Source organism: Homo sapiens, chromosome 1 (assembly GCF_000001405.40).
Source record: "Homo sapiens chromosome 1, GRCh38.p14 Primary Assembly".
NCBI classification, from domain to species: Eukaryota; Metazoa; Chordata; class Mammalia; order Primates; family Hominidae; genus Homo; species Homo sapiens.
The window spans coordinates 230,125,468-230,145,241 of NC_000001.11; the positions used below are offsets into that span (position 1 = coordinate 230,125,468).

At 48.5% G+C, this 19,774-nt stretch overlaps 1 protein-coding gene across 3 annotated transcripts in view, besides 5 other annotated features; it reads left to right on the forward strand.

Annotated features, from left to right (window-relative positions):
* The window catches only part of GALNT2 (polypeptide N-acetylgalactosaminyltransferase 2), a 224,334-nt gene that overhangs the window by 67,679 nt on the left and 136,881 nt on the right, over positions 1–19,774 (forward strand). The window lies entirely within an intron of this gene.
* Positions 1,535–1,829: an enhancer, noted in NCBI's record as "tiled region #1224; K562 Activating non-DNase unmatched - State 1:Tss". NCBI's record gives its function as "activates a minimal TATA promoter and a strong SV40 promoter by Sharpr-MPRA in K562 cells {active_cell/tissue: K562}" and the evidence as "EXISTENCE:reporter gene assay evidence [ECO:0000049][PMID:27701403]".
* Positions 1,708–1,787: a silencer, noted in NCBI's record as "silent region_1938". NCBI's record gives its function as "represses an Ori minimal core promoter by ATAC-STARR-seq in GM12878 lymphoblastoid cells {active_cell/tissue: GM12878}" and the evidence as "EXISTENCE:reporter gene assay evidence [ECO:0000049][PMID:35858748]".
* Positions 11,450–11,950: an enhancer, noted in NCBI's record as "H3K4me1 hESC enhancer chr1:230272664-230273164 (GRCh37/hg19 assembly coordinates)". NCBI's record gives its function as "activates a minimal SCP1, AML or CMV promoter by ChIP-STARR-seq in primed H9 embryonic stem cells {active_cell/tissue: H9 hESC(primed)}" and the evidence as "EXISTENCE:reporter gene assay evidence [ECO:0000049][PMID:30033119]".
* Positions 11,951–12,451: an enhancer, noted in NCBI's record as "H3K4me1 hESC enhancer chr1:230273165-230273665 (GRCh37/hg19 assembly coordinates)". NCBI's record gives its function as "activates a minimal SCP1, AML or CMV promoter by ChIP-STARR-seq in primed H9 embryonic stem cells {active_cell/tissue: H9 hESC(primed)}" and the evidence as "EXISTENCE:reporter gene assay evidence [ECO:0000049][PMID:30033119]".
* Positions 14,829–15,421: an enhancer, noted in NCBI's record as "H3K27ac-H3K4me1 hESC enhancer chr1:230276043-230276635 (GRCh37/hg19 assembly coordinates)". NCBI's record gives its function as "activates a minimal SCP1, AML or CMV promoter by ChIP-STARR-seq in naive H9 embryonic stem cells {active_cell/tissue: H9 hESC(naive)}" and the evidence as "EXISTENCE:reporter gene assay evidence [ECO:0000049][PMID:30033119]".

Here is a 19,774-nt window from a genome sequence, read left to right on the forward strand (position 1 = left end):
GATGAAAGGTTTACTGCGTTTGGATCGTGAGTCTTTCAGCCAAGATCGTGTCTTAAATTTTGTATCTTGTAATATCGTATCTGTGGGATTTCGTCAATAATGCTGACAAAATCTGAAGTTGTACAAAGGGATAGTGGGAGTTTCTCATCAGAGGTCATAGATTTTGGTGGGTAAGAGTGCTGCTTGCTTAGAGGGGTTTTGGCAGCTGCCTTCAGGCAGTGAGAAACTGTTAAGGTAGGAAGGAGAACAGACAACTTCGGCTTAGATGAGAAATTGTGAGCACTTTCCAACAGTGACATCCCAGTACTCTGTTTAAGTGAAAAGCTGAACTCTCTTAAAACTCTCTTGCCATGCCTCATGTCATCATTTCTCCAGGATTGGAATGTGTGCCACTCCTAGAAAGGATTATTGGCAGAGTTTCAATGTCTCTCTCCTGTCTTTCTTTTCCTCTCTTCATTCCATGTGAATATACGAAGGAAGGTGGCTCCCCACCCAGTGCTCAGAGGTTGGGTGGAGGCAGCACACAGACAGGTAGTGACCCTTCAAGCATGGGGAGGCCAGAGTTCAGAGGACGGTGTGTGGGCTACAGCCAAAGAGGAGCGAGGAGCAGGGAGGCCTTTTGGAACAGAAACCCTGAGCCACACTTGAAGAATGATGAGGTTCCCTAGATGAGTGTGTGGGGGCAGGGGTGTGGGGGCAACCCCAGCAGAGCTGTGGAGATGGTGATGGGAACTTCCCAGAGCAGGAGTGTGGGGTTGCTGTGCTAGGAGAGGGCTGTAGGAACACCCAGAGTGGAGACACAGGCAGGGCCAGTTCGGCGGGGGCAGGCACCCCTCTGCAGAATGTGGAAAGGGCCTGGTGATGAGTATAGCTGAGAGAGGGCAGCCATGCACTTTTTGGGGCCCGCTGGGGTGCTCTGAGAGGGAGGGATGGAAGGTTGCAAGCCTGGATTCTTGAGACCTGGAGACCAGGGAACAGAGTGACCTTTGTCTTATATCATAAGGGGGTTGCAGTTGAGGACTAACGGATGCCGATGCCTCGAGAGGGTTTGGGGTGTGGGAAGAGAGGCCCCCGCCTCCATCCTGCCTCGCGGGTAGAAACATGAGCGGGAATGAGAGTGGTTCAGAAGGCCATCCTCCCGCAGGCAGCCTCACTCACGTACCTCAGTCTCTCCTCGGAAAAGTGTGTGCATGGGATTGTAATATCGCATCTATGGGAAATGTCAATGTTGACAAAATCTAAAGTTGTACAAAGGGATGGTGGGAGTTTCTCATTGGAGGTCATAGATTTTGGTGGGTAAGAGTGTTCCAGCCCGTATAACCCCACGTGCACACTTTGCTGAGGAGAGACTGAGGCACGCCAAGGAGTGACTGCACCCAGCGCAGGTTCAGCAGTGGCCAGGACGATAGTCCCCTTCAGGATTTGGAGTGAGGAGAAAAGGATTTATGGGGCTGACATTTGTTTTCAGACCTAAACCATTCCTGTAAAATTGCAACCTAATTGCTCAGTCTGGCGGTTTCCTCTTCCTGGTAGTGGGTGAATGGAGGTGGGGGGAGCGTCTCCCCTCTTTTTTGGATAGATGTTAATATTTTGCACTGCTTTTAGCACCTGGGGAAAACCCATTAAACAAACGTCCCCCCCTCCCATTGCTGCCTGAGGCAGGGGCATGTGACCCACACACCCTACTTTACTCGGAAACAGTGACTTTGCAGCAACCCTAAATCCTGCTGTGAGCCCCGCCTGCGCTGGTGCTGTGTGATAAACTGACACCTCCCCCTTCTTCTCTGTGGAAGACTCTCTTAATGCTGTGAGCCCCGCCTGAGCTGGTGCTGTGTGATAAACTGACACCTCCCCCTTCATCCCTGTGGAAGACTCTCTTAATAGTGTAGTTTGATTTCAAATTCATTATGAATAGATTTTTTTTTTTGAGTTGGAGTATCGCACTCTCACCAGGCAGGAGTGCAGTGGCGCAATCTTGCCTCACTGCAACCTCCGCCTCCTGGGTTCAAGTGATTCTCCTGCCTCAGCCTCCCAAGCAGCTGGGACTACAGGCATGCGGCACCATGCGCAGCTAATTTTTGTATTTTTCGTAGAGGCAGGGTTTCACCATGTTAGCCAGGATGGTTTCGATCTCTTGACCTCGTGATCCACCCACCTCGGCCTCCCAAAATGTTGGGATTACAGATGTGAGCCACTGTGCCGGCCGAGGGTTTTTTTTTTTAATTTTAAAGAGCTGGATCTATGTGAGCCCCTCGCGGTGGTGGTTGCTGTAATCCTCCTCAGTGATACGCTCCCGTGCTCAGTTCATCAGAACACTCCTGGGTGCGTGAACTCTTTTGAGGTGTGAATTGTTGCACTGTAACTCATTCCTCATTACCACGGTATTGCTGACGTGGCATGTAAGATGGGATGTCTTACAGGCCAAGACGGAACCTCCCCTCAGTCCTCCCTGTGAAGCCAGCCGCTGTGGCCCTTGGTGCCCTCTGAGGAGCCATCTATCCCAGCGGCCCCCAAGGGCTGTGTGGGGGATGCAGGCACAGACTGAATGGGATGATTTGTCCCAAATGCAGCTTTTCTTTCCTTCTCTAGAGTTTCTCATCACCAGCTGGGTGGCTGCAGGAAGGGTGTCTGAATCCTTACCAATACCCATGAGGCCAGGGATGGTCAGGCCCCCAGAAGGCCTCTTAGTACTCTTCTGGCCATCTGGGGCCATCTGTCCTATAGCATAGCCTCTCTGTCACATCGCACTCACCATGTGCAGGTACTTCTAAATGCAAGTGCGCTGGAGAATGTGTGTGTGTGTGTGTGTGGTTATGAAGGAAAACAGGACCTTCGCTTGTCGTGGTGTGTACAAGGGCAGGCGTGTGTTCTCCGATGTTATATGGATTTTGTGGCCCTGAAGCCGTCAGCCACTTGGAGTTTTGGGGGGCTCTGCCTCTTCCCCGAAGCTCTGTTCTGTGGAGGCCACAGAGCCCAGCGTCTGCATGGCTGCTTATTAAATTCAGTGGGCCACTTGGGTCTTGTGCACCAGGGATGGAGCCACTGGCTTCTGGGTTGCCTCTGGAGTTGCTGGCTTTTGGATAGGGAGGTAAGGGAGAAAGTAAAACAGGAATGATCTTAGAGAAGGGACTTTCATAAGGGTGTGTGTGTGGCGGGGGCGGGGGTGGTTGGGGGGAGGTAGGCTTTCCTTTTTTCCCCCAAGCTAGTCTCTCCTGAGTGTCACAAGAGCCTGAGTGTTGGCTGGGAGGCATCTGTCTTCAGGGCCTTCCTTGCTCCAGTCTCCTCTTCTCTTGGAAGTTCCTCTTTCTGCCAGAGCATCAGCTCAGGACAGCCTTCCTAAGCCCCCATCTTCCTATATGTGGGGTGCCCCGAGCCCCATCCAGGGCACCTGCGCTTTCTGGTTCGGGGACATCTCATGCCTCAGCACTGTTGAGAGCAGCTCAGCCTGGCACTTTGTGGATGTTTGAGTCAGTGGAGAGGATTTTCTGGATTATCAGCAATACTTCCACCAGCTCCTTCTTCCTGAAGCCCCCGCGACACTTGTGAAGCACACACCCTGCTTTTACTCAGTGGCCAAATGCCGCCGCTAGCGACGCATCAGTCATTCGGTGTATTTCGGGCTCTCTCATAATTTTATGATGAGTTTGCTGTTCGTTTGTAGTCTGTTTCTAATCTGGCTCATTAGGAATTAGCAAAACTTGTCTCTTGCTCAAAATAGATTGTGTTGCCAGGATTCAAAGCCAAATTCTGACTGCAGATATGCTGCGAATTTTTCTGTTTCTTTAGACTTTTTTCTTTCCTGTCCTATAACCTGTTTGTTAGTGGGGTAGAAAATCCACAAATTTAACTCTTACTATTTTATTTTTTAGAGATGAGATCTTGCTCTGTCACCCAGGCTAGAATGCAGAGGCGTGATCGTAGCACCCTGAGGCTTCAAACTCCTGGGCTCAAGTGATCCTCCCTCCTCAGCCTCCTAAGTAGCTGTGACTATAGGTGTTTGCCACCATGTCTGGCTAACTTTTTAATTTTTTTTGTAAAGATGGGGTCTTGCTGTATTGCCCAGGCTGGTCTTGAGCTTCTGACCTCAAGTGATCTTCCCCTCTCGGCCTACCAAAGTCCTGGTGTTATAGAAGTGAACCACTGCACCTGGCTCACAAATTTAACTCTTTCAAGAGGAAACAATACACCCAAGGGTCCTTACTTTTTTTCCCCCCAAAATTCTGTCACTTAAAAATAAAAGTTCAGCTTTCGTTTTAGACTCAGGGTGCATGTGCAGGTTTGTTCATGGGTATTCTGCATGCTGCTGGGGGTTGGCCGAGTGTCCTTCTGCTGTGACTGGTTGACCTGACACTGAAAAGGCTGCTGAGTTCTGTTAGTCACTCAGCATCAGTGCATTGGATCTGAAAGGACCACAGGTTGTCCCCAGGCCAAGCTCCTGGCTCCGCAGAGCAGGCATTGCTTCTGCAGCTTCCTGTGGACAGGCATCACCCGTCTGCTGAAGTACGCTGAACGGGCACAATTGCAGGATTACTGCCTTGAGATCTGCATGACCTCCATGTTCTTACTTGTAGAACGTGGAGCCCAAGTCTACCATCCCTGCAGTCCTCTCTTGTCTCTGAAGCTTTGAGTGAGCTGATGCCCATCACTGTGGAACTTTGTAGTCCTAATACCTCTTGCACATGAAAATCTCTCTGCTATTTGAAGACCTTTCTCATCCCGCCTTCTACTACCATCCATATCTTTCTTCTGTAAGCTAAACCTCTCTAATTGCCTCACATGATAAGATTTTGAGGGATTTCTTCACCTACCCACAGCGCTGCCGCAGCCAGGCCTCATGATACCTTAGCTCATAATAGCCACCGAGTGGCTTGGGAGAAGCACTTAGCATGGGGTCTGGCACTTAGAAAGCACTCACTAGATGCTCGTTTCTGGACACTGCTGGGCACTGGCTGATGTTAAGGACTCCCTGTGCTCAGCCGGTTGTGAAGGGTTTGGGAGCCTGGTGTTTACCCCCACTGTTGGATGAGGTGCTTCAAGGAACACCAGTTTGATACAGAGGCAGTTTGGGGTTTACTAGGGAGTCAGCCAGCGTGAGTCACGTGGTATCAGGAACACCGGGCCCTGGGGACCGACCCCTGTGTCTCCCCTAAGTAGGATGCTCCCATGCAGGAGCAGAAGGACAAGCAGCCCGGAGCTGCTGCCCGGCTGTGCCCAAAGTGGGATTTCTGCTGATCAAGAGTCTGGAATTTACACTCCAGCAGGTTTGGAAGTCTCGGCGACAGCTCCTGTATGTTCAGTCAAGCTTGGCTGACCATGGCTAAACCACTTTAATGAGTTTATGGGACACCAGCGAAGCTGCAAACTGGGTCGGGATGAAAGCTGAGTGGGCGGGTGGGGGCTTAAATGGGAAAGCACTGGGAGGGCTGGCCCACACCCGTGACTGCCCTGCGTCTCATGGGAGCAGAAAGGTGGAGGCTGAGCCTGAGACAGGGTAGGAACCCCTCTTAGGAGCCTGTCAGGCACCCTCCAACATAAAAATTTTAAAAATTTAAGTATTAAAAAAACTAGGCATCTCGCTAGCCTTGAGAAAGAAATCAACAACCTAATAAACAAGATAGCTTAAAACAGTATCTAAAAAGCTAGGCACAAAACGTTTGTTTTTTTTTTATAAAAATTAAATACCTTAACATATGTCCCTGAGTCGTTTTTTAGAAACCTGGACCCCCACCAAATAATAAATGCTGTCTGCAGCACATAGACCTCGGGTAACAGAAAACTGAGGACACAACTCTGACCGCCAGTTTTAATTTCTTTCTGAGAGGCCTGGAGGAAGACACTTCCACAGGCCAGATGCTAACATTCATTTCTGCTGATCCCAAATTCCTAGACAAAGCTTTGCTTCCTTAACCAATAGCAAATCAAAAAACCTTTGAATCCACCTTTGACCTGTGGGCCCTGCTTTGAGACATCCCACCTTTCTAGGTCAATCCCATGCAGAGCTTTCATGTATTGATTTATGACTTTGCCTGTAACCTCTGCCTCCCCGCCTTTAAAAACCCTTACCTGTAAGCCATCTGGGAGTTAGGTCTTAAGCACTAGCCACCCAATTCTCCTTGCTTGGCACCCTGCAATTTAAACCTCGCACTGTCTCGCTGCTATCCTGATGTCAGCGTTTAGCTCCGCTGCACCAGCCAAGTAGACCGAAGTTCGGTTTGGTAACAAGCCCTGGAGAGATAAGGCAGGGGCTTGGCTGGTCCAGGTATGGGGTCCTGTTGGAGGCCGAAGAGTGAGGGTCGTGATCAACTCAGTATACCACTGGAGGCTATGTAAGTAAGCAGCGAACTGTTTCTCATAAATGCAGAATGTTGGCAAACTGACAAACTGCGTCTGCCACCCAGAAGTGATGCTGAGGGCAGTTATGACCCAGACGCAAGTGTTTCTTATGATTAGGCATCATTGAAGCCTGTTAGTAACAGTATGAACCTGTGATCAATTAAGCAGCTGACCAATCGTTACCTCCTTCCTGCTCTTGTTACCCAATAAATAGGAAGGGCTGTAGAAGCTTAGGGGGGCTGCCTTTGCTCACTAGAAGCAGGGTGCCTTTTTCCTCTTCTTCTTCTCTCTTCTTCCCCATGCTAGCCTTCCCTTAAAATAGTTACTTTTGTTTTTTGTTATTTCTACATTCATCCCTTCAATCAGTCTCGTAATGACGGTCTCAAGTAGCAGTAACAGTAGTAACTGTGGCGGTCAGCAACAGGGTCCTGGGAGTAACTCTCTTCTGATTTGGTTTTCACTGCCCCGAAATAGATAGGGGTAGGGGAGACCAGGACGTCCAGCCTGAGAACTGTTAAATCACCCAGATTTCCTAAGGGAAGAACACACCAGACTCCTTTTCTGTCCAGGGGCTTGGTGGCCATCTCTCCAGCTGATACTGGGAGCGTCACAGTGGGATGAGGCTGCCTTCCATCACAGCTCCTTGAACCCTGTGAAAGCCCGCAGAGGCTGAGTCCTGCACCCCCTCTAGTTGGGTCTGTCTCTTCCTTTGGTTTTCCTGCAGGGCCAGGCCTTGCTGAGAATGTGAGATTGGGAGCCATGAGGAAGGGACTGTACTAGAGAGGTGACATGCAGACTGTCTTGGAACTTGCTTGGGAAGAGGTGGAAGATAGTGGTACATAAATGGAAAAGGTGATCTGTGCATTTCTTGAAGCAGGTACAAACCAGTGGTTGAAAGAATTAAAACAGCCATTTAAAAAAATGTGACTATTTTGTTGCAAAATAAAGGACTGCTATATTAGTTGTTTCTCTTCTTTCTGAATTCCTGTAAGAATATCCGAGTGTCTATTGTGCTGTGTTCCTTTTGCCCTGGAATTGTGTTTCTTGAGCGTGGGATGAGAGGGTAACATTCTTCCTCTGTCATCCTCCACCCTATTATAGAACTGATGCATATTAATTATAAAAATACAGCCTAGCATAAGGAAGCAGGAAGAAGGAACACATAATTCATGCCGCGTAAGCATCCCCACCACGGTGCCTTCTAGGCTTTATTCTGTTTGGTTTTTTAATATACTCGTGGTAACAATGTGTTGCAGTTTGGTTTTTTTCCCTGCCTTGAAAGTTTTAACACTATATTGTATTTTTACATGATCTAAAAAGCTTTTATTAACATTGTATGGATATGTCCAATCTACCTAGCTAGTTTGGTTTTGTAACTTATGATGAACCTTTTTATGTAAACCTTTGCAATACATTCTTTACTATGTCCTTGGAATAGATTTCTAAAAGTGGAATTACCGGGTCAGAGAGTTTGAACATTTTTAAGGCTTTTGATAGATGTTCTCAGCTCTTTTCCAGAAAGGTTGTACAAGTTTACACTCAGACCAGAAGACTCTTTTGTACCTTTGCCACATCGTTAATATTTGCAAATAAAATCTTTGTTTATTGCCTAGGTGGTAGTTGACGTTTCTGTTTCGATTTCTTTTTTCTTTTTTTTTTTTTTTGAGACAGAGTCTCACTCTGTCGACCAGGCTGGAGGCTGGAGTGCAGTGGCATGATCTCAGCTCACTGCAACCTCCACCTCCCGGGTTCAAGCAATTCTCCTGCCTCAGCCTCCAGATTAGCTGGGATTATAGGCGCCCGCCACCGCGCCCAGCTAATTTTTTGTGTTTTTGGTAGAGATGAGGTTTCTCCATGTTGGCCAGGCTGGTCTCGAACTCCTGACCTCAGGTGATCCGCCTGTCTTGGCCTCCTAAAGTGCTGGGATTACAGGCATTAGCGCCACACCTGGCCTTAATTTTGATTTCTTTAGTTCCCTTGAACTGAAAAGTGTCTCATGTGTTACCTGATCCCGTAGCCTGCTTTTCTCATACTTTGTGTTAGCTGTTTAATAAATATTACAAATTGCAACCCTTTGTCTATTTTTAGGTAATATTTTCCCCACACTTTTCCTTTTTTTTAAATAGAGAGGAGACTTAACTTTATGTAGTTAAATTCTCATCCTTTTGCTTTCTGGTTTCCTCCATTTCTTTTAAGCTTAGAAATGCTTGTCTCAACCAGAGATCAGGTAAGTAATACTTAATTACATATTACTCTGATACTTGGTTGGTTTGCTTGATTTTGATATTTAACTCTTCATCCACCTGAATCTGTTTTTTTTTTTTTTTTTGGCAGAGTCTCACTCTGTCACCAGGCTGGAATGCAGTGGCGCAATCTCAGCTCACTGCAAGCTCTGCCTCCCGGGTTCACGCCATTCTCCTGCCTCAGCCTCCCGAATAGCTGGGACTACAGGCTCATGCCACCATGCCCAGCTAATTTTTGTATTTTTAGTAGAGACGGGGTTTCACCACGTTAGCCAGGGTGGTCTCAATCTCCTGACCTCATGATCCGCCCGCCTTGGCCTCCCAAAGTGCTGGGATTACAGGTGTGAGCCACTGCACCTGGCCTATTTGGTATTTTTGAGAAGTGCAGCTCTAAGTTGGTTTTATCCCCTTCCCCCAATTCCTAACCAGTTGTTCAGGTGAGACAACCATTTGTTATTTCTTTGGTTTCAGAGAAGCTGTATCTATCTATCTGTGGTGTATCCCTCTCAAACCTCCCCTCATTCTGGGTTGGGCCCAGGAGGAGGGTATCCAACCCAGACCTGGTGGAGAGGAGCAGCTTTTTTTAAGGCCAGTAGTGCTCAATATTTATAAACTCCTTCTGTATCAGCTCATGAGACATTTCACAGTTGTACTCTTCGCCTGCTTGGCTGTGTGACTGAGAGGAGCTGGGCGTGGGGTGATACAGCAGCGAGCAGGTGAGGTATCGGGGCAAGCCCACCAGCATCTCTCCCGTGTCATCTGCACTTCAGTATTGGATTCCTCCCCGTGGACCCAGTGCTCAGAAAATCCAAGGCCAGTCTTGGTGCTACCACTTGCTTAGACAAATCACTGAGTTGTCTGTGTCAGCCAGTTTCTCCGCTGTATTTAAGTATGATCAGTGTGAACTAAAAACCTATTTGGCCTGCCTGTTGTGAGGCTTAAATGAGAGGAAGTATCTGAGAGTGTTTCAAATCATCTAAAGCATTGCCCTCACATAATTTCAAAGCAATATTAATGTATTAATTTGAGCCTTTAGGTGCTAAGGGTTGTAAGATGCACCATCATTTTGTCAATTTTAAGATGCATTCCCCATTTCAGAGATGTCGGAACAGGAAAAGCCATGCATCCTGGAATTGGTGTTTGGTCCTGACTCTCATGGGGGGTGAGAAATGGTAGAGACAGTGTCCTAGACTCGGGGGTGGGGATGCGAGGGGTGTAGAGGAAGACAGTCATGGATACCCATATTTTATTCTCTAATGATACAGAATCTTCATTTTGGGCCGATTCCTGTGGCTCTATTTTCTCTTTGTAATTCTACTTTGCGATGCATGTTTCAGAAGAGAAACCATTTTCCAGCTTTCTTCATCTCATTTCCGTTGTGCTAACAGAGAAACTCTGAATTCATCTGAGGTGCTTTTTACTTTTCTTTCGGTGAATTGTCAGGCATGAGCCACAGAAGCCATCCGAATCAGGTTTCTGTGTGGAAATCACACGGCGGGGAGGTGGAGGCACAAAATGATCTTAATGACATGCACATCTTCCTGCTCCCTTGTGGAGCTGAGTGTGGGGGGCCCTTTGCAGTCTGGCAGGCTCGGCTCTGGATTTGAATTCAGTCTCTGCCATTTATCACTTGAGGGATCTCAGATGAATGCTCTTTCCCTTTCCCTTTCCTTGAGACACAGTCTCCCTGTGTCACCCAGGCTGGAGTGCAGTGGTGTGGCAGCCTCGACCTCCTGGGTTCAAGCAATCCTCTTGCTTCACCCTCCTAAGTAGCTGGGACTACAGGTGTGCACCACCACGCCTGGCTAACTTTTTCATTTTTTTTTTTTTTATAGATGGGGGTCTCACTGTGTTGCCCAGGCTGGTCCTGAACTCCTGGTCTCAGGCGAGCTCCCCACCTCCGCCTCCCAAAGTGTTAGGATTACAGGCGTGAGCTGCTGTACCTGGCCAAGTGCTCTCTTTCTGATCCTTAGTTTTCTCTTCTGTAAAGTGAGGATAAAAGGATATATTCTGGAGCGTTGTCAGGAGAATTGAATGAGCTGCATGTGTAAGCCCTAGCAGAGTTTCCTGGGTATAGAGGAGGCACTTAGTCAGCGTCACCTCCTTCCCATCTTCTCAGGAGTTGGAGGGTGACAGAGCAGAGGAAATTTAGGTTTTCACTCTTCTGGGGGTGGGTCAGGTAACTATGATCGAACCTGCACGCATTGTTTTAGTGCCACGTTGATTGGGTCGCGCCTGATCATTTGCTTCTGGTCTGACTGTCCCAGATCCCTGTCAGCACATGTCTGGCACCAGCCATCCTCTGATAACCCTGCCATAGAGCTCCAGGAGAGAGTGGGGCCTGTTCCTGGTGGCCTGAGTTGTTGAATTGTACTCTTTAGACATCGAACCTAATGTTTCAAAACACACATTCATTCGTGAGGCCTGTCTGCCGCGCTTTCTCTCCCGGATGTGAGTTCCAGCACATGCATGCACCCCCTCACTGCCCCCCATCCAGAGCCACAGCCTGCCCTGTCGGAATATGTCCAGCCCTAATGAGGGAGGCGTTGTCTTCAGATCACACACTCCGCAGCGGCTCTGCTCTGCCGCGCCCCTTCAGGAGCGCTGGGTCTGAGAGAGGACTTCAGAAATAACGGGGGCAACGTTCCGCTTTGATGCTATTATTAGAATTTTCCAAACACCGCTTGTTTGTAGCTTCACAGGGACTTGGAGAGAGGCGAGTGGGAAGAGGTTGCTGCTAGTGCCATTGTACGGGAAGCTCAATGGCATTTATCTGGTCCAAGGTCATTCAACAAGAACAGGTTGAAATCACCCTCAGACCGAAGAGCCGGCCGTCTGTGCATTTTGCTTTTCCCGCAGTTCAGCCGGGACTCTGCTTCACGGATGCTTTCACCTCACGGACAGCGAAGCCAGACACACAGGCCCTGCGTGGTTGGGGGCGAGAGCATTTTTCCATAGTCAGTGGGCTATTCCGAAGCTAAGAGACCGTTTCCTTGAACCAAAAGGCTGATTCTTTCCTGCTGGAGCTCCTGTTTTCATACTCATTTCCCTGGGGAGTGGAGCTGAGGCGTGTGGACTGTTCCCACCCCCGCCTGCACCCAATAAGCTTTGGGGGAGCCAAATAGTGCTTTTCACTGGAGCCTGAGTGGATGCAGGGAGGCACACATGCTTCATAGAAGGGAATCAGTGATCTGTCCCGCTGCTCTGGGGCTCCAGCATGGAGCTTCACGTAGGCTGGGGTGGGGTTGGTTCTGTGTGACAGCCTGCACAGAGGTGGTGGATATGGCCGAAGCCACTTCTGCTTCATGCTGTGTTTGGGCCAGATGTCCTTGGTGGCTGGGAGGGTCTGCTGTGGAGGTGCCCATGGTCAGAGAGCCTGCAGGCTGCAGTGGCTGACCTCTCCCCTCCCCACCTGGCTTTGCTGAGAGGGTGCTTGCTGGGTGTTCTCAGCTGGGCAGCCAGCCGAGGCTGTCACAGTGACAAGGGAGGAATTATTTTCTCTTCAAGGGGTGGATGTGAATTACTTAATTATTTGCAGAAGTTTCATTGCTTTTTACTTACATTCTCCTGATTCCTCCCCAGTGGAAGCATCAAGACCCCACTGCAACAGGCTCGTCAGCATCTTGTCACAGCTGTGGATGTTTGCCAGGCTTTCTGGACGAGTCCAGCTCTAGATTGCAACCTGGTTTAGCTACACACGTTGAAAAGGAGAAGAAAAAAGTAGAGATAAGATAGGATTTGGCTCAGGATTGATGTTGTATAGGGTTTGACTTTTATTATCTTTCACTCTTGAAAAGTGAAATATATTCTCCTTTGATTTCTGTTGACGTTGTTGGAAATAGAGATTTCCTTCAAGTCTTTAAACAGCATTATTATCGTTTCCTAGGTTCTTAGTTTTGATTTGTTTTACAAGCAGTAGTGCTTCATTCTAATCCTCCTGCATCCATTTTACCTTTTTCTCCTTGGAATTTGTTCAGTGATGACTTAATAGAAAAAACACCTTGCATGTCGTTGCGTGCGTCTTTTCCAGACCTCTGTCTGTGGCCTCTTCTCCTTTCATCTGCCATTGCCCAAGTGTTACTGGAAAGGGGTCCTCATCCAGACCCCAAAGGACGGTTCTTGGATCTTGCACAAGAAAGAATTCAGGGTGAGTCCATGGAGTAAAGTGAAAGCGAGTTTATTAAGAAAATAAACAGGGCCAGGCATGGTGGCTCAGAGCGCCTGTATTCCCAGCACCTTGGGAGGCCAAGATGGGCGGATCACCTGAGGTCAGGAGTAAGAGACCAGCCTGGTCAACATGGTGAAACCCCATCTCTACTAAAAACACAAAAATTAGCCAGGCATGGTGGTGCGTGCCTGTAATCCCAGCTACTTGGGAGGCTGAGGCAGGAGAATCGCTTGAACCCAGGAGGTGGAGGTTGCAGTGAGCTGAGATCACGCCTCTGCACCCCAGCCTGGGCGATGCAGCGAGACTCTGTCTCAAAAAAAAAAAAAAAAAAAATGAAACAGAAGAAAGAATGGCCACTCCATAGGCAGAGCAGTGGCATGGGCAGCTTGACTGAGTATACTTATGGTTATTTCTTGATCATATGCTAAATAAGAGGTGGGCTTTTTATGAGTTTCGTGGGAAAGGGGCAGGGATTTTCCTGGAACTGAAGGTTCCTCCCTCTTTTAGACCATCTACGGTAACTTCTTGACGTTGCCATGGCATTTGTAAACTGTCATGGCACTGATGGGAGCGTCTTTTAGCTATTGTGTTATAATTAGCATATAATGAGCAGTGAGGATGACCAGGTGTGGCTTTTGTAGCCATCTTGGTTTTGGTGGGTTTTGGCAGCTTCTTCACTGCATCCTGTTTTGTTTATCAGTGGGTTCTTTATGACCTGTATCTCATGCTGACCTCTTGTCTTATCCTGTGACTGAGAACGCCTAACCTCCTGGGAATGCAGCCAGTAGGTCTCAGCCTCATTTTACCCTATTCAAGATGGAGTCACTCTGGTTCAAACACATCTGACATGAGCACTCAGTGTCTACCCTCACGGGGGTTATGGTGTGAGGAGACCAACAAGAGCTTCTGGCTTTTTCTAGCTGCTACTTCCTGTTGACCATTGACAGCCACTTTACCCGGCTTTGGTCCCCTCACCTTACTGTTTGAAAGGTATCTAATAATCCCCATTTCAGAGATTTATATTTAAATGAAGACATTTAGATGAGAACAATCAGGGTCCTCTTGCTAAATCTGAAGAATCCCGATGTTATCGTTGAAGCCAAGTGCTCCTTCCTGGCCACATGTGTCCCTTCTGATGAGAAGTTTATCCCTCTCGGTTCCCTGCCACAACTTCCAAGCTGCATGGGACACACCAAGACCCCTCTTCTAGGCTAAGACAGCACAGTGCAGCCTGGAGTTCAGGGTCTCAGCCTCTGCCTTCAGCAACGCCTCACTCCTCCTGCCCCATGAAGGGAGGACGGTTATTCTGCAGCAGGGCTGCTGGCACTGGGCCTGGAGGGGAGCCACTGTAAGCCTATCAGGCAGTCCAGAACCAGCACCTGTTCCACTGACAACAGCTAGAATTGTAAGAAAATGGCCACCAATGGAAAGAGCAGTAGAATAGTAAGGGATTTTTTGTTTTTTGGTAAAATTCCAAGGAAAATACAAGCAAAGCACTGCGAGCGTAATAATTTGCCGTTGCATGGACTAAGGGGTAAGGAAGGATGAACTGGTGTATTAAAGGAAATCCAGTTTCGTTCCCACCTATGAAGATTACTCAGGTTTATGGAGAGTTGTTTTGCTTTGGGCTGTTGCGGAAATAATCTACTTGGAATGAAGTTCTTTCAGCTCCTGGGAACCTTTAATTGTCCTGTGGGCTGGTCATTCAGGTTGTACATCCACAGACTCACAGAATTGCGTAGCCCTGGGAGGAAGGGACCATAAAGATGAATCAGCCCAGCCTTCCTCAGACATCCTGCGACCACCCCAGGCCCAGAGAGGCTGTGCCTGGTCCAGGCTGCCGGGTCCCTGCGTCAGCTGTACTGGAACTGTCTGCTGAGTGCGCCCTCCCCCACGGGGCTTCTGTCTGCTTCTTGGACACCCCTTTCTTCCCCTTGGGGGTCGGCTTTTTAATGGCCAGCTCACCTCTGCCTGAGAGGAGGAATGAATCCCAAGGCTTGGGTTTAGGGGATGGCTCACCTCTGCCAGCCTGTGCTTCATGTTTGGAGACAGGTGATGGTTAACCAGGCAACAGTCCCTGCCAGTAGTGTGTACACAGACAGTAGTGTGGCTGGTAGGTTTGGCCAAGGCCTGGAGTTGGATTCCTACCCCTGCCACTGCCTGGCTCCACTGCCCTGGGCCAAGTCCCTGCCCTTCCCAGTGCCCCAGCCCCTGGACAGCAGTGCCTAGGTGACAGAGAGTGGTCCCTGTCCTACTGAGGGGATGGGAGCACAGTGGAGCGTGACTTCCCGTGAAGCTGCTGTCCGTTGCTATAGAAATCCAGCCTCGGAACCGGGAGTACTGTCAGTGGTGCTCGGGAAACTTCCCCCTTCCTCCAGCCTGTGCTTCCTGGAGTGACGCGCTGCCACAGCTGGAGGCTTCTCTGCAAACGTGTATTATGGTTTTATCTTCTCCCCTCCCACAATGAGTTCTGTCTGTGTCAAGTGTTTAGAGATCATTCGAACCTTTCTCCTCACCCCTCCCTTCCCCTTTTCCTCAGGGAAAAGCTTGTGCATAACTCAGTAGTAAATGAATTGTCTAAATCATGTAGCAAAACACAAAATAATGTGACTCCCAGTAGTATATGCCATTATACAACCCAGCTGTACAGTATTTCAGTGTATTCAGAGGACCTCTTTTCCATTACCAAGTGATAGTGTGGAAGGGAAGATACGTATCCTTTCTAGTTCTGAAATAGCTATATTCTTATTTTCTCTGCTTTTGTGTCATCATTGAAAAATTCCAGCATTCGTTGCAAATGTGTGTCTATTTTGAAACAAATGACAAACGAAACAAGAATGCATAGATCTGTAGGTAACCATGCTTAAAGACATTCTGTTTCTTCAAGGGGAATGTGAGTGAATGTGAATTGGATCACCCCACAGGAGATTAGTAGGAACTGATTTATTTTGTTGGCAACATTTGTTGACAGTGTGTCCTGGAGTCTTAATATTACAGCTGAAAGGAGAGATCCTGCCCATCTTAACACTGCGCAGAAGGGACTCGTACAGGCTCTGGCTCCAGACCCGGGCTGGGTTCCTTACTTTGTTTTTAATCCTTAAAAGTTGGTAAAATACATACATCATAAAATTTGCTGTCTTAACCATCCTTAAATTTACAGCTCAGTATCCTCACGCATCCACAGAACTCTTTCATCTTGCAAAACTGAAACTCTGTCTCATTAAACACTGACTCCCTTCTCCCCTCCCCTCCCCCTGGCAACCACCATTCTACTTTCTGTCTTCATGAATTTGACTCCTCTAGGTCCCTCATGTTAGTGGAATCATCCAGTATTTATCCTTTTGTGACTGGCTTATTTCACTTAGCATAATGTCCTCAGGGTTCATCCATGTTGTAGCGCGCGTCAGAGTTTTCTCCCTATTTAGGGCTGAATATTCCATTTTATGGTTAGGCCACATTTTGTTGATCTAGTCACCCATTGATGGACACGTGGGTCCTTATGGCTATTGTGAATAGTGCTGCTGTGAAATATGGGTATACAGATATCTCTTCAAGACCCCGCTTTCTTTTGTTTTCCTTTTTTTTTTTTTTTTTTTTTTGAGACAGGGTCTCGCTCTATTGTCCAGGCTGAAGTGCGTGCCACAATCATATCTCACTGCAGCATCAAACGCCTGGGCTTATTTTCCCGCCTCTGCCTCCCAAGTAGCTAGGATGACAAGTGCTTACCACCATGCCAGGCAAATTTTTTGTTTGTTTTTTTGTTAGAGACGAGAGCCTCACTGTGTTGCCCAGGCTGGTCTTGAACTCCTGGCCTCAAGTGATCTTCCTGCCTTGGCCTCCCAAAGTGCTGGGATTACAGGTTTGAGCTACCACCCCTGGCCGAGACCTTGCCACCACACTGCTTAATAAAAGGCTGGGCTGCATTTTGGGATTAGGACCTCCTGTGGAGGTGGGGGGAGGGTGGGGAAGGAGAACGGTGGCATCCCAGCCAGGAAGCATGAGGGATGGCATCCGTCCACCAGGCCACAGGAAGCATAAGGGATGGCCTCCATCCACCCGGCCACTTCTTTCCACATCAGCATTCTTCCGCACTTGGGCCACACAGGGTCTGCGAGAACTCCAGGTGGCTCTTAGAGTGGCACTGACCAAGTAGTCTGTGTAGGGGGACTCACTGTGCCCCCCATGCTCAGAGGCTGTATGGTGAAGTCGTTAAGGGCCCGGGCTTATATCCAGCCCCGCCAGCTGATCACTCTTGATCTGGGGCAAGTAACTTAACCTCTGTGTGCCTCTGTTTCCTCCTTTGTAAAATGGGGAAAAAAGTAGTACCTACCTCCTAGGGCTCTTCTGAGGGTGACCTGGGTTAATATAATTAAATATACCTAGTACGTGCATAGTAAGCACCATTTAAGTGTCTAGAACATTATGGGTAAAAATACGCCTGTGCTTTGGTGAGTCTGGAAGTCTAAAGTGTAACTTTCCTAAGCTGGTCGTTGCCTGCTCTGTTCACCTAAGTTCGCATGCTCATTTGCTGAATGCTGTCTGCATACTTGCTGGTCAGCTACTTCTTGTCCTCTGTCTTACTGTGGGGCCTGCGTGGGAAGGCTGGGTTTTTCTGAACACTTGCTTATAAATTATCCTCCTTCTGTTCATTTAAAGCCAGATGCTCTCTATGTGAGAATTGGCCCGTACCCTGGGAGAAGGTTTGAGCTCTCCTGGGTCCTGGGGGCCAGCAATTCCAGGAGAGCCATTTCCTTCCTGTGGCTGCTCTTCAGAGCAGCAGCCTGCAGGCTGGGCCCATCCCTGGTTCAAACTGTTTTTAGGGGAGTGGGCTGGAGAGCTGCCCAAGTCCATGTCTGAGCAGCTGGTGAAGAGAATGGTGCTGGCTCCTCTAGGCTTCTGGTACTCCTGGAGCCTGAGTCCAGAGACTGAACCTCCTAGTCCTTCCCTTGCAGTGGATTCTGGGAATTGGGGTACTGGGCACTGTCAGCCCCATTCCCTGTGAGCATCTGGGCTTTGGGCAGGGTCCTCACTCTCTCTGGCTTTCAGTTTCTGCGTGTGAAAAATCAGGGGAATCCGCAGCCTGAGAGCTTCTCTGGAAGGTGTAGTTAGTTTTTGGTAAGAGATGTCCAGTTGTTTGCAGCAGCTGCTAGGAATGAAATGCAGAACTGGAGACATTCGAGAGCAGAAGAGCAGAAGCAGCAACAAGGTGTGGTGTGTGCAGGTTCCACAGTCACACAGCACCGCTGCCCATCCTTCATGGGGTCCTGAAGTCCCATGCAGAACTGCGGGGTGGTCCTGCTGAAGTTCTTGTGGATGCTGCTGCTGACCTGTAAAGAGGCATGGCAGGTGCAGTAGGGGCCAAGGAGAAAGAGGTCGTCTGTCGGCCTGAACACTTCCTTGGTTTTTTCTTGGCTTTACGCAGCATGTTGCTTTTCACATGGGAAAGTGTCAGCCCCACGCTCTTATTAAAGCATTGAGTTCTTCCAGGCCTCTGTTGCTGCTCTGATAACTGAAAGGGTATTGTGCTTGTCTTTATCTGCCACACGCACGTGGGTGACATTGATGCGCCAACCAGATGCCCCCAGCTGTGACAGGCAGAATTTAACTGTCGCCCTGCTCAGCGATCACCAGCTCATCTTGTTTGTCCTGATGATGGTCCCTCCTGTTATTTGGCTGTTTGTCAGATATCAAGAATTTTCTTTGTAATTAGGCTTTAATTGCTAACTTTTAAATTCTAATCACTTTCAAAATAGCACTCTTTTAAATGGAGGTGACACATCTTAGGACATTCAGAACGATACCTCCTATATTTGCCAGAACATATTCCACTTACAAAAGCAGCACCTGCGAGTGCTTGACAGCTGTGTCGTGGGAGGTGGCTTGATGCAGATCCTCCTGGCCACACCTGGATCGGGAGGCAGAGCAGGTTGGGGTAGGAGACGTCTCCGTGCTGCCTTCTGGGCCACATGTCAAAGAGTTGACACTGTTATTTCACAACCCTCTCCCTGTATCTAGAGTGACCATGCTATTTAGTGTCCAGACCTGAGTGCTTTTGAGAATGAAAGGGGAAATGTTAATAATTACATGGAGACAGTAGTTAGTATCCAGAACATTTGTCCTGTTTTGTGCCTGAAACCAAGAAAGACTACTACACTCGGCTTCTCTATAACCAGAGGATCACAGAGCCAGCGTCACCCGCAGCACCAAATGATAAAAGCTCAGAGTAGCCGGTGCCTGCATGTGAAGGGCGGTTTGTGTTCCTCGCTACTGGAAGTAGGATTATGGTTGTAATAATTATGTCGACTTCAGTATTTTTTCCTTAAGAAAGTTTTATTGTGCCAACATCTGCAACAATAGACGCTGTATACTCTTAGGTACCAAGCACCCACCAGGATTTCGCCATGCTTATTTTGTCTTTTCCTGTTTATGCCTGTGTGTGTGTGGTGGGGAGTTAGGGGTGGTAGTGGTGTGTTTTAAAGCAAATCTCGGATGTTATTTTTCTTCTTGTGATGCTTACTTCAAAGTAAGTACCACTAACCTTGTGCCAGTGTTCTTATGTGGGGTGAGGATTAATTAAAGACTAAGGGATTTGAAGAGCAACTATAAAGTATTAAAAAGCCTGGGAGTAGGTGGTTGATTTGGGGCAGAGGTTATGGTGTTGCTGATACAGTGGCTTCTAAGCTTCTTGTGGGAAGGATGAGTTTATCTTTGGCAGCCTTCAGTGATCTCCCCGCAGGCCTTGAGGTGAGATGTGTAGTGATGTCAGGCTCCTCTCTTGCTTGGTAACCTACAAACCAAGCAAGGTGAGAGGCCCGGCGGAGCATCCCAAGGGTCTCCCGATGGCCACTCCAGAGCTGCGTCATCTGTTTTCTGCTGCAGCATCTGCAGGCTCTCACTCATCCCGTTACACTTAGAGCGACCCATGTGCCTGTGGGCCCCTCCTGCCTCAGTACCAAGACTGTCCTTGGCACCCCCTCCCCAACCCCATTCTCAGATCGCCCCCTGTGTTGCTTGTTAGCAGGCAGGTTCC